This window comes from Homo sapiens, chromosome 16 (genome assembly GCF_000001405.40).
Source record: "Homo sapiens chromosome 16, GRCh38.p14 Primary Assembly".
NCBI lineage: Eukaryota > Metazoa > Chordata > Mammalia > Primates > Hominidae > Homo > Homo sapiens.
In genome coordinates this window covers 8,026,419-8,040,351 of record NC_000016.10, presented here as the reverse complement: position 1 = coordinate 8,040,351, position 13,933 = coordinate 8,026,419, and the positions used below count along the sequence as shown (strand labels likewise).

The following is a 13,933-nucleotide window of genomic DNA, read 5'->3' as shown; positions in this document are numbered from 1 at the left end:
AAAGTATAGACATTAATGTATCACGAAAGTAGAATTACAACTACTCAAGAAACTTACAGAAAAACATCAACCTCACTCATAACCCAAGAAAAAAATGTTAATTACAAAAGCAGTGGAATTACATTTTACTTATTCAATCAATAATGCTTGTTTGAAAGATGATGCTCTAATATGGTGAGAAGGGTGTTGTAAAATAGGCATACATATGCTCCTGTTAGGATGGCAAATTGGTACAGATTTCTGGGAAGACAATATTTCTGTTCTTTTCTTTCTTTCTTTTTTTTTTTTTTTTTTCAGATGGAGTTTTGCTCTTGTGGCCCAGGCTGGAGTGCAATGGCGCAATCTCGGCTTACCACAACCTCTGACTCCCAGGTTCAAGTGATCCTCCTGCCTTAGCCCCCCCAGTAGCTGGGATTACAGGCATGCGCCACCACACCCAGCTAATTTTGTAATTTTTTTGTGTGCATTTTTAGTAGAGATGGGGTTTCTCTATGTTGGTCAGGCTGGACTTGAACTCCCGACCTCAGGTAATCCGCTCTCCTCAGCCTCCCAAAACTCTGGGATTATAGGCATGAGCCACCACATCTGGCCACCTTTGCATTTGAAAAATTCTCATCTGCAGATATAGGAGAGAAAACTAGGATGTCTACCTGATCCCATTATAGCTTATGTAATAATGACTAAAAATTTAAATCATGAGCTTTTGGGCTCTCTCACTTGTTTCCTAAAATGCTTCACAGCCTTCCAAGCAACAAAATTAGGTGGATTTCACTGGTTGGTTTATCAATATGTTAATTTTGTTGCTATCTGCCTGAAACACCAACTGTTGAGGGATTGGATAGAGATATTTACCAACCAGTTCTGATTAGAGAGGAGAGCATCATTTATGCCATTTCAAATAATTAGGGTGAACTTATTGGGGAAGGTAAGCAAGTTGGACATGATGGGGGTAATTTTAGGCATGAGAAACCATTTGGTAGCAAAGCATATAAAGATGAATGATTCCTGCCCACCATTGCCAGGTCAATTTTGCTTAAAAACAAAACGTCAAACAAACAAAACAACAAACCTAAGAACCTTCCATCAGGTACCTTGTTGCCTCAATAACTATCAAATATCTCCCAGCTCAAGTTCAAATTCTTCAGCCTGGGGGACAGGGTGGTGCAAATAGACAGAATGGGAATAGGCTTTGGAAACAGGATGAATACATTCAAACTTCAGGTTGATCAATTGCTAGCTGTTGGAACTCACACCTGATGCTAAGCATTTCTGAACATCAAGCACCCTGTTTGTGAAATGAGAATAATACTGAGTAGAGAGGAAATCTGAGGATAATGGGTCGCAGTTTGTTTATTTATTTATTTGAGATGGAGTTTCACTCTTGTCACCCACACTAGAGTGCAGTGGTGCAGTCTCTGCTCACTGCAACCTTTACATCCTGGGTTCAGGTGATTCTCCTGCCTCAGCCTACTGAGTAGGTGGGATTACAGGCTCTTGCCACCATGCCTGGCTAATTTTTGTATTTTTAGTAGAGACCATTTTTCACCTTGTTGGCCAGGCTGGTCTCGAACTCCTAACCTCAGGTGATCTGCCCGCCTCGGCCTCCCAAAGTGCTGGGATTACTGGCGTGAGCCACCGTACCCGGCCCAGATCTAAGTTTAGACGTAGGATTGTCTCATCCTTCCTGTGTGGTCCTTTCCCCCTTCCATATATGTGCCACCCATGGGGCTTTCTTTTTGTTTTCCAAATACTCCATGTTTTTCTTTTCTTATATAGGATTTTGGAATGTTGTTTGTTTGGTTGGAATTGGCCCCAATTTTTTTCCCACTATTTCATATTTTGTATACTCCTTGTCCTGTTTACTTAGGTAAGACCTTCCTCTTTCATATTAATCTAACTTGTTTCTGAGTCCCAGACCAAGTGAGATCCCCAACCCCAGTCATTTACTCCCATAACTCTGGTACCATTCCATCAGAGAGCCTCATCTCAGTGTAATGTTGTATTTGTGTGATTAGTGTCTCCTCTTCCACCAGAATGCAAGTTAGAAGAAGACTTGGGCTGTTTGCTCCTAATTTATTTTCTAGCATCTAGCACAGTGCCTGACCCAATAGGTTATAAAAATATATTTGTAAAATAAATGAGTGAACAAATGAAGCAAAAGCTACAGCACTTCTTTGTCTTCATAACTCACTTGATCCTAGAAGCAAGGAAAAGATGGTGATCAAAGAAAATGGTAAACATATCAACAATATTGTTGCTATAAAACAATATAAATAATACCCGTTTGTAAGGTTAAAAATGAACAAAATTGACCAAAACTATTTGATAAAGATATACTATAAATTAGGAGGAAAGTTATTCAAGTTCATGCATTCTATGTTTTATATAATATTTAGTAGAAAATCAAAAATAGAGATAATATTTAGATTTTATCAAGTGTGCCTGCAATAAATTCTGGAATAAATACTGATGCAGTTGAAATAGAGGACATAACTTACAAACTAGAAAAGGAGGGAAAAAATTGGGGTAGGGTGAGTAAGAAGTTCAATTAGTCACAGAGACGAAAATAAAAGAAATTTTAAAAATAGAATAAATAGTCAAAGCTCCAAAGGGTAAGTCTAACTAAATACGGGCAAGATCATTTTGAGAAAATTTGAGCTTTATTGAAAAAACTTAAAGAATAATTAAGTAAATGGATAAATATTCCATGTTCCAGGAAGATTTAATAATGTCAGAAAAACACCAGTTTTTCCCCAAACTGATCAAAAGATCCAATTCAATTGCCAGTAAAGCTGAACAGCATCTTTTTGTGGAACTTATAAAATGATTTTAAGTTTTATATCAAGGAACAAAGGACCAAAAATAGCCAAAGACATTCCTAGATGAAATAAAAAGTGGAATTCTTGCCAAACTCAATTAGACCTAATGTAAAAGTATAATAAGGCAGTGTGAGTGTGGTATAGAGATGTACAAACAGAGCAATGGATCAGAATAAATTAGAGAAAAACAAGTGTCTAGATAAAAACACCTACAGGTTATGAAAACTATCTGTGAAAGAGATTAGCAACTGTGTATCAGTGAAGAAAGGAGAGCATCTTTAATAACCAATGTCAGCTCAATAGCACAACAGAGTATAGGGGAGAGAGAGAGAGAGAGAGAGAGAGAGAGAATGGCTGCATCTTTCAATGTTTTCAAGGGAATTAGATGTTTAAATATAAAAAACTAAATTTTTAAAACTTTAAGAGTGAAAAATACAGAAGAATGTCTTTTTTATGACATCTAGATAAGACAGAATTTCTTAATCCAGGCATTAAAATCATAGCCACAGAGACAAAGATTGATAAATTTGACTATGCCCAAATTTGAAGTTTTGTTTATGAGACACAGATCTAACCGACAAAACTGAAAGCATATTGCAAACTACTGAAGTTATTAACAACACATATGACTGATAAAATGTTGGTGACAGTTTACATTAAAAAGTCCCCTAAACTCAGTAAGGAATACCAAACAACCAATAATAAAATAGGCAAAATCCATAAAACAGCCTCCACAGAAGATAAAGGACAAATGGCCAATAAAATAGAAAAAGACGCTTATTTTCATTGGTAATCAGAAAAATGTAAATTAAAACCACAATAAAAAATACTCATATATACCAGTTTTGCCAAATCGCAAAGTCTGAAAATATGGATGTGAAGAATGGGTACGTGCATACGCCTGCTTGCTGTTAGCATTGCAACGGTTTTAGAATGCATTCATGATTATGTAATATTGTTAAAGTAATTTATGTCCTAGAGACCAGCAATTCCATTTCTAGGAATATGCACTAAGGAACCTCTTCAACATTGTTAGTTCCATTGCTTCCAGCAGGACATCTAAAAAGAAAAGAACAACAAAACTGCTAACATCCAACAAATCCAACAATAGCCAAACAGGTAAATAAATTGGGGCATATTCATACCAGGGAATATTATGCAGAAACAAAAATAAACAATATCTGCACACATCATAAATACATCTCACAAAATACTTTGAGCAAGAAATAAAACAAAAACAAATATTAAAATATTATGTACAGTATGATTTCTTTTATATATTATTCCCAAACTTGAAAAATAAATGACATATTGAAAAAGCACTTCAATGATAGACTGGATAAAGAAAATGTGGCACATATACACCATGGAATACTATGCAGCCATAAAAAAGAATAAGTTCATGTCCTTTGTAGGGACATGGATGAAGCTGGAAGCCATCATTCTCAGTAAACTAACACAAGAACAGAAAACCAAACACTGCATGGTCTTACTCATAAGTGAGACTTGAACAGTGAGAACACATGGGCACAGAGAGGGGACCACCAAACACCGGGGCCTGTTGGGGGGTGGGGGAGCAAGGGGTGGAAGAGTGTTAGGACAAATACCTAATGCATGGAGGGCTTAAAACCTAGATGGCGGGTTGACAGGTGCAGCAATCCACCATGGCACATGTACATCTATGTGTACATACTACATGTACACCTACACGTTCTGCACATGTATCACAGAACTTAAAGTAAAATAAAATAGAAAAAAAAAACAAAAAAGAAAAAGCAGCATCTGGTAAAATTTTAAAGAAAAGTGAGGATGTGATCATCACAAAATTCAAAATCTTGAGGCTGAATGTAAGAGGATGCATTAAAGGTAGGCTACACGAGAAAGGTTTCAATATTGAAACCTTCAATGGCATCCTGTCTCTAGTGATTGACTGGTATACTGTTATATATTACTTTATAATTTATAAATCAATAGTACATTTTCATTCATGAAATAGTATGTACATTTTTAATTGTGGAAGGACTCGTTAGGTAATTCTGTTGCTTTCTCCTAGTATTTATTTTCCTACCAACTATGTACTGGTAAATAGAACTTTGAGACCCATTTTTCTATTCTGACTTTCTGAGTCCAGGGGAAGGCCAATGAATGGGCAATGAGTCCATTTCCCTAGATGTTTAGCTGTATTTTATTTATATTTAAATCTGCTTTAATAAAAACATGGTCTCCATGAATGGAAACCCTTTGAAAGCCATGCTGCTTATAAATTAGGCAATGAATAGTTTCTTTTCCTCAATTGCCCTTAGTAAAGACTTTTCCCATTTGACTGATTAAAGATGGGTGATAGAATAATCTTGTAGTCAGTGTCTGTTGCCCTACAAAAATGGATGCTTTTTCTGTCAGAATGGTTAATATGAAAACTGCTCTATTCTGCTGATGAGTCCCGTTAAAATGTGGGAGTAGTTATTTTAGAGAATGAATGTTTAGGTTTCTGGTGGTCTCTGCTTGCTCCAGTGGTAAAAATGCACTCAGGCTTGATGTGGGGCTGGTGTGTTATATTTTATCAGTGACAGAAAATCTCCCTCTTGGTCACTCAGATTGCTCTTTCTGAATGTTGCCTCGAGGACAGTTGGATGGGCCTGAAATATTACAGAGCCACCAAGATGAAATATTAACACTTCCTGCATAAGTTGATGTCTAAAAGTCAACCTTATATCTTGGCTGCTAGAAACAATTCAGCAAGTCTTCATCTATAGAGGGATTTGGACCTTTTCTTATAAGAGGGTAGCGTGATGTGTAGAGTATTATGAAGATAAACACCATTATTTGGCTCACGCCTGTAATACCAGCACTTTTGAGAGGCTGAGGCAGGTGGATCAGCTGAGGTCAGGTGTTCGAGACCAGCCTGGCCAACATGGTGAAACCCCATCTCTACTAAAAATATAAAAAATTGTCGGGCGTGGTGGTGGGCACCTGTAATCCCAGCTACTTGCGATGCTGAGACATGAGAATTACTTGAACTTGGGAGGCAGAGGCTGCAGTCAACCAAAATCGCACCACTGCACTGCAGCCTGGGCGACAGAGCGAGACTCCACCTCAAAACAAAAACGAAAACAAAAACAAAAACCCCACCAATATTAAGTGACATCATTGTTTCAGTGAGCTTGCTTGCTGATACGATGTATCCTCATGCCTCAGTCTCCCGAGTAGCTGGGGTTACAGGTGCGCTCCACCATGCCCAGGTAATTTTTGTATCGTTAGCAGAGATGGGGTTTCTTCACATTGGCCAGGCTGGTTTCGAACTCCTGATATCAAGTGATCCATCCGCATCGGCCTCCCAAAGTGCTGGGATTACAGGTGTGAGCCACTGCTCCTGGCACCTAATTTCTCTTGATAAAAGCAAAGCTCCCTCTTTCTGGGTTACTTTATTTCTCCTGTGCTGAGTTCTTGTGCTATAGTTTCTCAGCTACACATCAGAGTCACTGGGGGAGTTTTGAAAATTGTTGCACAGTGCTTATTCCAGATCAATTGTATTGGGTTTCTGAGTAGGGGTTTTAGGTATCAGCAGATTTAACGTTTTCTACAAGTAATTCAAAGATGGGCTGAAAACAACTTTTGAGATCAAACCAGAACTAAATTAAAATATAAATTTTAATACTGAGCTGCTTGGTTTCATGATTAAAGTTCTAAATTTTAGAAATTTAGTCATGGTTTCATGATTAATACTTAATGTTAAATTACATTTAAAAAACTTTTTTTTTCCTTTTGAGACAGAGTCTCGTTCTGTCGCTCAGGCTGGAGTGCATTGGCATGATCTTGGCTCACTGCAACCTCTGCCTCCCAGGTTCAAGTGGTCCTTCTACCTCAGCCTTCTGAGCAGTTGGGATTACAGGCAACTGCCACCCTGCCTGGCTAATTTTTGTATTTTTAGTAGAGATGGGGTTTCATCATGACGGACAGGCTGGTCTCGAACTCCTGCCCTCAGGTGATCCTCCCACCTCAGCCTCCCAAAGTGCTGGGATTACAGGCATGAGTCAATGCACCCAGCTACAAATTTTTAAGTTTAAATTTAAATTTAAAAATTTAAAATTTAATTTTAATGTCGGTTTCATGATTAGTTTTCTAAATTTCTAGTTTTCATATCTGGAAAAAGTGGTTGATAATTGTACCAACCTCATCAGTTGGTTGCAAGGATTGAACGCGATAAGCCATGTAAGGCAGTTGGGACAGTACTTGGCACATAAAAAAAGCCCTAGTGAATGTTGGGTATTCTTGCCAAGTTTTTTTTTTGATTTATGAATATTTATTTCAGTGATGCAGATGAAAGAGAAGACACTGGAGTCAGCCAGTTTAAAAGGCTCCAAGATGAGGTTTGAATCCCTAATTTCTCTCTCTCTTTTTATTTTTATTTTTATTTTGAGACAGAGTCTCACTCTGTCATCCAGGCTTGAGTGCAGTGGTGTGATCTCAGCTCACTGCAACTTCTGCCTCCCGGGTTCAAATGATTCTCATGCTTCAGCCTCCCGAGTAGCAGGGGTTACAGGTGCATGCCATGCCCAGCTAATTTTTGTATTGTTAGTAGAGACAGGGTTTCATCACGTTGGCCAGGCTGGTTTCGAACTCCTGATATCAAGTGATCCATCCACATCGGCCTCCCAAAGTGCTGGGATTACAGGTGTGAGCCACGGCTCCTGGCCCGTAATTTCTCTTGATAGAAGCAAAGCTCCCTCTTTCTGGGTTGCTTTATTTCTCCTGTGCTGGGCCTCTTTGATAAGAAATGTGAAGAACACACATTCTTTAATTCCAAAGATGAATTCTAACAGGAGCAGAGATGTCTACATTCTTTCCACACCAACAGGCTTCCCTAAGAAGACTGAAACTAGAAAGCTTGGACTAACCCAAAAGACTTGAAGGAAAAGTTCAACTGTCCCTGGCATCCTGCCAATGCAGACAGCACTCCTGGAAATATTTTATCTCTCAAAATAAAAATCAATTTAGTGGACCCGAAGACAATGTAGTATTCACAGACATGCCATTTTTCTTCCAACGTAATTCCCCTCGATGCTGCTAAAGGGTTCAGTTGTCAGGGGCACAATACAGGAAGCATTTTTTTACAGAGATAAATTATGAATTGGCTCCCACTCCATCAGCCTGGTGCTAATACATCACCAGCCACCAAGGTCAGGCATGGCTTCAGTTCACTTACCCCCAAGGTGATAGAATGGTTAACAGCACAGGGCTTCAGTGACAGAGGTTCAGCTTCTGGCTATACTCTCATCTTAATAACAGGACATATGGCAAGTTACTTGATGTCTTGGCGCTCCAATTTTCTCATCTGTAAAATGGGAATGATGTTACCCACGTTGCGTGGTCTTTGAAATAATTCAATGAATTAATGCCTTTTTTTTTTTTGAGACGGAGTTTCACTCTTGTTGCCCAGGCTGGAGTACAATGGTGTGATCTCGGCTCACTTCAACCTCCACCTCCCGGGTTTAAGCAATTCTCCTGCTTCAACCTCCTGAGTAGCTGGAATTACAGGTGCCCACCACCACGCCTGGCTCCTTGGTTGTATTTTTAGTAGAGACAGGGTTTAACCATGTTTGCCAGGCTGGTCTCAAACTCCTGACCTCAGGTGATCCACACACCTTGGCATCCGAGAGTGCTGGGATTACTTTTTTAGAGGTGTTTTTCAGTGTCTGGTATTTTAAAAACACTCATTGCATTGTTGCTCTTAGGAGCACGTTAATGATTTTGAGAAACCGACCGGGATGTAACATCGTGCCTGTGCTCTATGCTTGGGAAGCAGACACTTGTTGCAGATCCAACTGGAGCCGGAGGAAACGTACTAGACGTGGTAAAATGCTCTAAAACCAGGCTGCAAGAGACTTCGCTGGGAACCAAAATAAGATGCCTGCATTTCACATTTAAACTTTTATGTTTAAAGTTGTAATGGAAGAAATGCTGGTGAGATTAAGTTCAGAAAATTTGGTTCCAATCCTGGTCCTCACAATAACTAACCATGTAACCCTAGGCAAATTACGTTTATATTTCTCAGCCTGTCTCTTTGGTGATGAAGCATCCCTAGGTTGGAGATGTTAAGGTCACACCCTGCTTGATTGTGCATTTGAAAATGCTCATAATTAGGGAATCAATGTTGGTTTTATAGAATAGTTCAAGCAAGATCACTTCGTGGGGGTGATTTGAGGTGTTGGTGATAAAGACCAAGCCTATGGTTGTCCTGTTATTTAACAACTCGACTACAGATATTGAAAAGATAGGGGCTTTGTCTGCTGTGTTCTCCTTCTCCCCCATTTGTTGAAAGGATCTGCCTTCTAACCATCCCCACTTTGCTTTGTTCACTGAAGCCCTAAGAGGCTGCACCAATTGGGCTTCCTTGCCTTCTAGCCCCTAGTTTAGTTAAGCCCATGGGAGGGACTGGTGGGAGATCAGATGAAGTAGGAGAGGAGAGAGATGCTACAATGTTTATTTCCCAGTTTTCTTCCTCCTAGACTATGGTTTAGTATGTTTACTATGGTTTTATGTTCATTAGTATAGCTGGGTTCCTCTAACCAAGACCACAGCTTCCACCAGACAGGCTCATTGCACAACTACAGCTCTCATCAGGCTTTAGCAGTGACTTTCCTCACTTTCCCCTGGTGGAGTAATCTAGGGGTGATAATGGCATTCCCCTTGTTGCTTGCTTCAGGATACTCTTGCATCCCCTGTTGACTGATTTCCAACACAATATAAGGAATACATTCATTAAACTGCTTTTCATCACCCTTTTTTGAATGTGCCATCTGTTTGTAAGCCAGGGTCCTGCTCAATACCACTATATACTGAACATCTACAAAGTTCCTTGAATTTAGTCGACATACAAGACAGGCTTTTAAAATGACCCTTTGGTTTATTATGAAATCACCATGTCTGAGTTCTACAAATACAATGGTCATCAGAATCAAAGTAACCAGCATCACTCATTTTTCTCTTTGATGCAACTTTCTGTTTACTCTCCCTATTTTTTTCATTCAACTCCAAATTACTAAGCATCTGTTATCTAAAGACCTCAAAACAGATACTATTTGACCCAGCAATCCCATTACTGGGTATGTAACCCATGGAATATAAACTATTCTATTATGAAGACACATGCACGAGTATGTTCATTGCAGCACTATTAATGATACCAAAGACGTGGAATCAACCCAGATGCCCGTCAATGATAGACTGGATAAAGAAAATGTGGTACATATATACCATGGAATACTATGCAGCCATAAAAAAGAATGAGATCATGTCCTTTGCAGGGACATGGATGGAGCTGGAGGCCATAATCCTAAGTGAATTAACAGAGGCACAGAAAACCAAATACTGCATGTTCTTACTTATAAGTGGGAGCTAAATGATAAGAACACATGGACACATAGAGGGGAACAACACACACTGAGGCCTTTTGGAGGGTGGAAGGTGAGAGGGGGAAAGCTCAGGAAAAATAACTAATGGTTACTAGGCTTAATACCTGGGTACAACAAACCTCCATGACACAAGTTTCCCTATGTAACAAACGTGCACATGTACTCCTGAACCTAAAAGTTCTTTTTATTTTTTTTTAAGAAACCGGTATTTTTAAGAAATTAAGTTGAAAATAGTCATTTATGTTTACCTAAATATCATTTCCAGTGTTTTTCTCCCTTTTTCTAAAAACTGAGTTACCAACAGGCATCATTTGTTTTCACCCTGAGAAACTTCCTTTAGGGTTTTTTATACTGGACATCTGCTGTCAATGGGTTATCTTAGTTTTCTTTTATCTGGAAATACATATATTTTATCTTAATTTTTAAAGTATATATTAAAATAATTTTGGATTATTTTTAGTTTTCTTTCAACATTTAAAAATGTTACTACATCATCTTCTGGTCTCCATTGTTTCTAATGAGAAGTCAATAATAATTTCCCTGTATGTCATATTTTTCCTCTGGCGGGTTTTAAGCTTCTTTATTCTTGCTTTTAACAATTTACGGTATTTCTGGACATGAAATTTTTATATTTATTCTGAATGGGCTTCACTATATGTATTTAATCTGTAAATTCATTTCTTCCTCCAAATGTGCAAAACTTATAGACGTTAGATCTTAAAAAAATTACCATGCCCTATTCCTTCTCGTCTTTTCAGTGGGACTTCAATTACACATATGTTAGATCTTTCAATATTGTCCTACAGACCCTTGAGACTCAATTTCTTTTTACTTTTTTCTAGGTTTTACAGATAGGATACTTTTTCACTGATCTATATTTAAGTTTACCAACTCTTTATGATCTTTAATGTAACTTAATTTCATCCAGTAAATTTTAATTTCAAATTTTTTTTACTTCTAAAATATCAATTTTCTTCATTTTAATAGTTTACGTATCTCTGATGATACTTATCTTTTTATTTATTATAAACCTAGGTTTACTTACATCACTGAGCATAAATATAATAGCTGTTTTAAAACAATTTTTTAAAAAATGTCCAATTATTTAGCATCTCCAGGTTTGTCTCCACTGATTGTCTTTCTTTGGTGCAAATCAATCATATTAGCCTTTTTTTAATATGGTAAATAATTTTGGATTGTATTGAGGCTATTTTGATATTATGTTGCCAAGACTTTAAATTTTGTTAAATTCCTCCAAAGCCTATTGATAACTCTTCTGTTTTAGCAGAAAATTAAGTTGGTTGTTGAACTCAAACTGTAACCTTTACCTTTTGGGAAACAACTCCAACCTCAGTTTACTTATCTTCTCTGTAGCTTGCGTGCTAGTAGCCTTTCCTGTGCATGGGTATTTCAACAGTCAGTCAGGGATTCAGGTAAAGTTTATATTCAAAACCTAGAGTCCTCCTCTTATTTCTCTGTTTTTGGAACCCTTTTCACTTTTTGTAGCTATGATTCTCCCAATCTCTATCCTCTGGTTTGTTAGGTAAAACATACTGCGGTTTTTCCATTGGACTTTTAATCACCCAGCATAGCATGCTGGGGTGCTTGCCATCAGCTAGAAGCTGTGAAAATGGGAAACTCACCCAGTGTCATTCCCTTCTTTCAAATAATGATTCTTTTCATGTATCTATGCATGTTTTGTTTGTTTGTTTCCAAGTGCCTTCAAGTGGCTATGTTTTTATTTTGTTTGGAGTTTATAGTTATTATTTATGGCAGGGTCAGTATAGTAAAAGGGTTCTCAGTCATATTGGAAGACAAACTGAAGTATATATATATATATATATATATATTTTTTTTTTTTTTTTTTTTTTTTTTTTTTAATGGAGTCTCACTCTGTTACCCAGGCTGAAGTGCAGTGGTGTGATCTTGGCTCACAACAACCTTTGCTTCCTGAGTTCAAGTGATTCTCCTGCCTCAGCTTTCCGAGTAGCTGGGATTACAGGCATGCGCCATGATGCCTGCCTAATTTTTTTTTCTGTACTTTTAGTAAAGATGGGGTTTCGCCATGGTGGCCAGGCTGGTCTTGAACTCCTGACCTCAAGTGATCTGCCCACCTCAGCCTCCCAAAGTGGTGGGATTACGGGTGTAAGCCACCACGCCTGGGGCTGGAAGTATATATTCTTTAACAAATTAATATGATTCATGTATTTATAAGTGTTTACCAGGTAATGAACTCAACAAAAATGCAAACCAAAAATTAGAGCTGCATCTGATAAAAGCATAGGGCTTATCTCAGGAAGTGTGTGTAAATTATAACTGTAGCATTTAATTTAACCACATATACAATTTGGAAAACTTACAATAATGTTTCTCAATCTCTATCAATAAAAATGCCTCTAAAAGTTACAGGAGATGAATTCGTATCTCAGCATCTCCACTTCTTGGGTGAAAGGCTAAAATATTAATCCAAAGCAGTTTCTTCATTGAAAAATGGTTTCTAAGTTTTATATTTCATTTTAAAAACTCTACAAGTATAAAAATAATACCAAGCATGACATTGATTCTTCTGTACTACTGCTAATAGTAGTATGCCAGGGACTCTGCCATATTACATATTGCTGTAATTCCCACCTTGTAGATAAGGAAATTAAACCACATGGAAATAAGCAATAATCAAATTCACACTGCTTGTCAGTGGTGAATCTAGGATTCAAATACAGGTTTCCATATGGATAATGGGGTCTTACTTTTACTTATGGCCTAGACTGATACCAATTTTCATTAAAATAATACTTGTCTGAATTTTTAATGCTGGAAAAAAACTAATGAACTTCCGTGAAAGCAAGATCAATTGGCATTTGAACCTAGGAGAATTACTGAATGCACCACTACTTTTCAGATCTTTTGACATAGACCAAACTATAAACCTGTATGTCCAGATAGCAGTAAACAGAATTTGATTGGCAGAAGTAAATTTGGTTCCCAGGAAGGAGAAGGAAGTTGCTGTTGAAAGTCTATAAGACTTTTTCATGGACCTCATAAGAAATTCCATTATTCCAGAATTCTAACATAATTGAAAACCCAGGGCGTCAGTCACTCTCAGAAGCTAATCATATTCTTAACAGCCAGAACAGTGTGACTTTGGCTCAAGATAGGTCAAACTTGTTTCTTTCCCTTTTGGCAGGGGTCAGGGTGGGGCGGGGGGCGATTTAACTAGATTGAAAACAGGTATGAATCTGAAACGCACTTGAATAAAACTTCGCTACCAGTCCAACCTATGTCTTCATTAAGAAGGTCATTTTCAAAGCTGCTGCACATTTTGCTTCACCCTGTAGGAAAAGACTTCGGGTTGTGGTTTTTCGGTCACATTGTCTCATGTTTAAATTATCTTAGCATGTACAAAGGTTATTTGTTGAATCTCATTGAACTTGTGGCTTAGAAAGGCCAAACCTGCCTAGCCAAAGGGAGCTGTCCAAACCCACGGTGCTGAAACCAGGAGAGAAGGTGTTACAAAGCTCGCACATGATTTAGCATATATGTTGTAGTGGCATCACACACTGAGCTAATGGCACACATAACAACTTATATTGTTCATTTGTATTTTGAGAAATAAATTACCCTGTGAAATATGCAAGCCATTTATTGAGTCTTGTCACTTCCCGCAACAACCATCACATCAGATGTTTTATTTGTATAGAAAGA

The 13,933-nt window shown here is 37.9% G+C and overlaps 1 long non-coding RNA gene across 1 annotated transcript in view, besides 1 other annotated feature; it reads left to right on the top strand.

Annotated features, from left to right (window-relative positions):
* LOC105371069 (uncharacterized) overlaps positions 1-13,933 on the top strand; it is a 236,274-nt gene that overhangs the window by 72,405 nt on the left and 149,936 nt on the right. The gene's annotated exons all lie outside the window — the stretch shown is intronic.
* Positions 13,599-13,799: a silencer, noted in NCBI's record as "peak2491 fragment used in MPRA reporter construct". NCBI's record gives its function as "represses an SCP1 promoter by STARR-seq MPRAs in K562 erythroleukemia cells {active_cell/tissue: K562}" and the evidence as "EXISTENCE:reporter gene assay evidence [ECO:0000049][PMID:32103011]".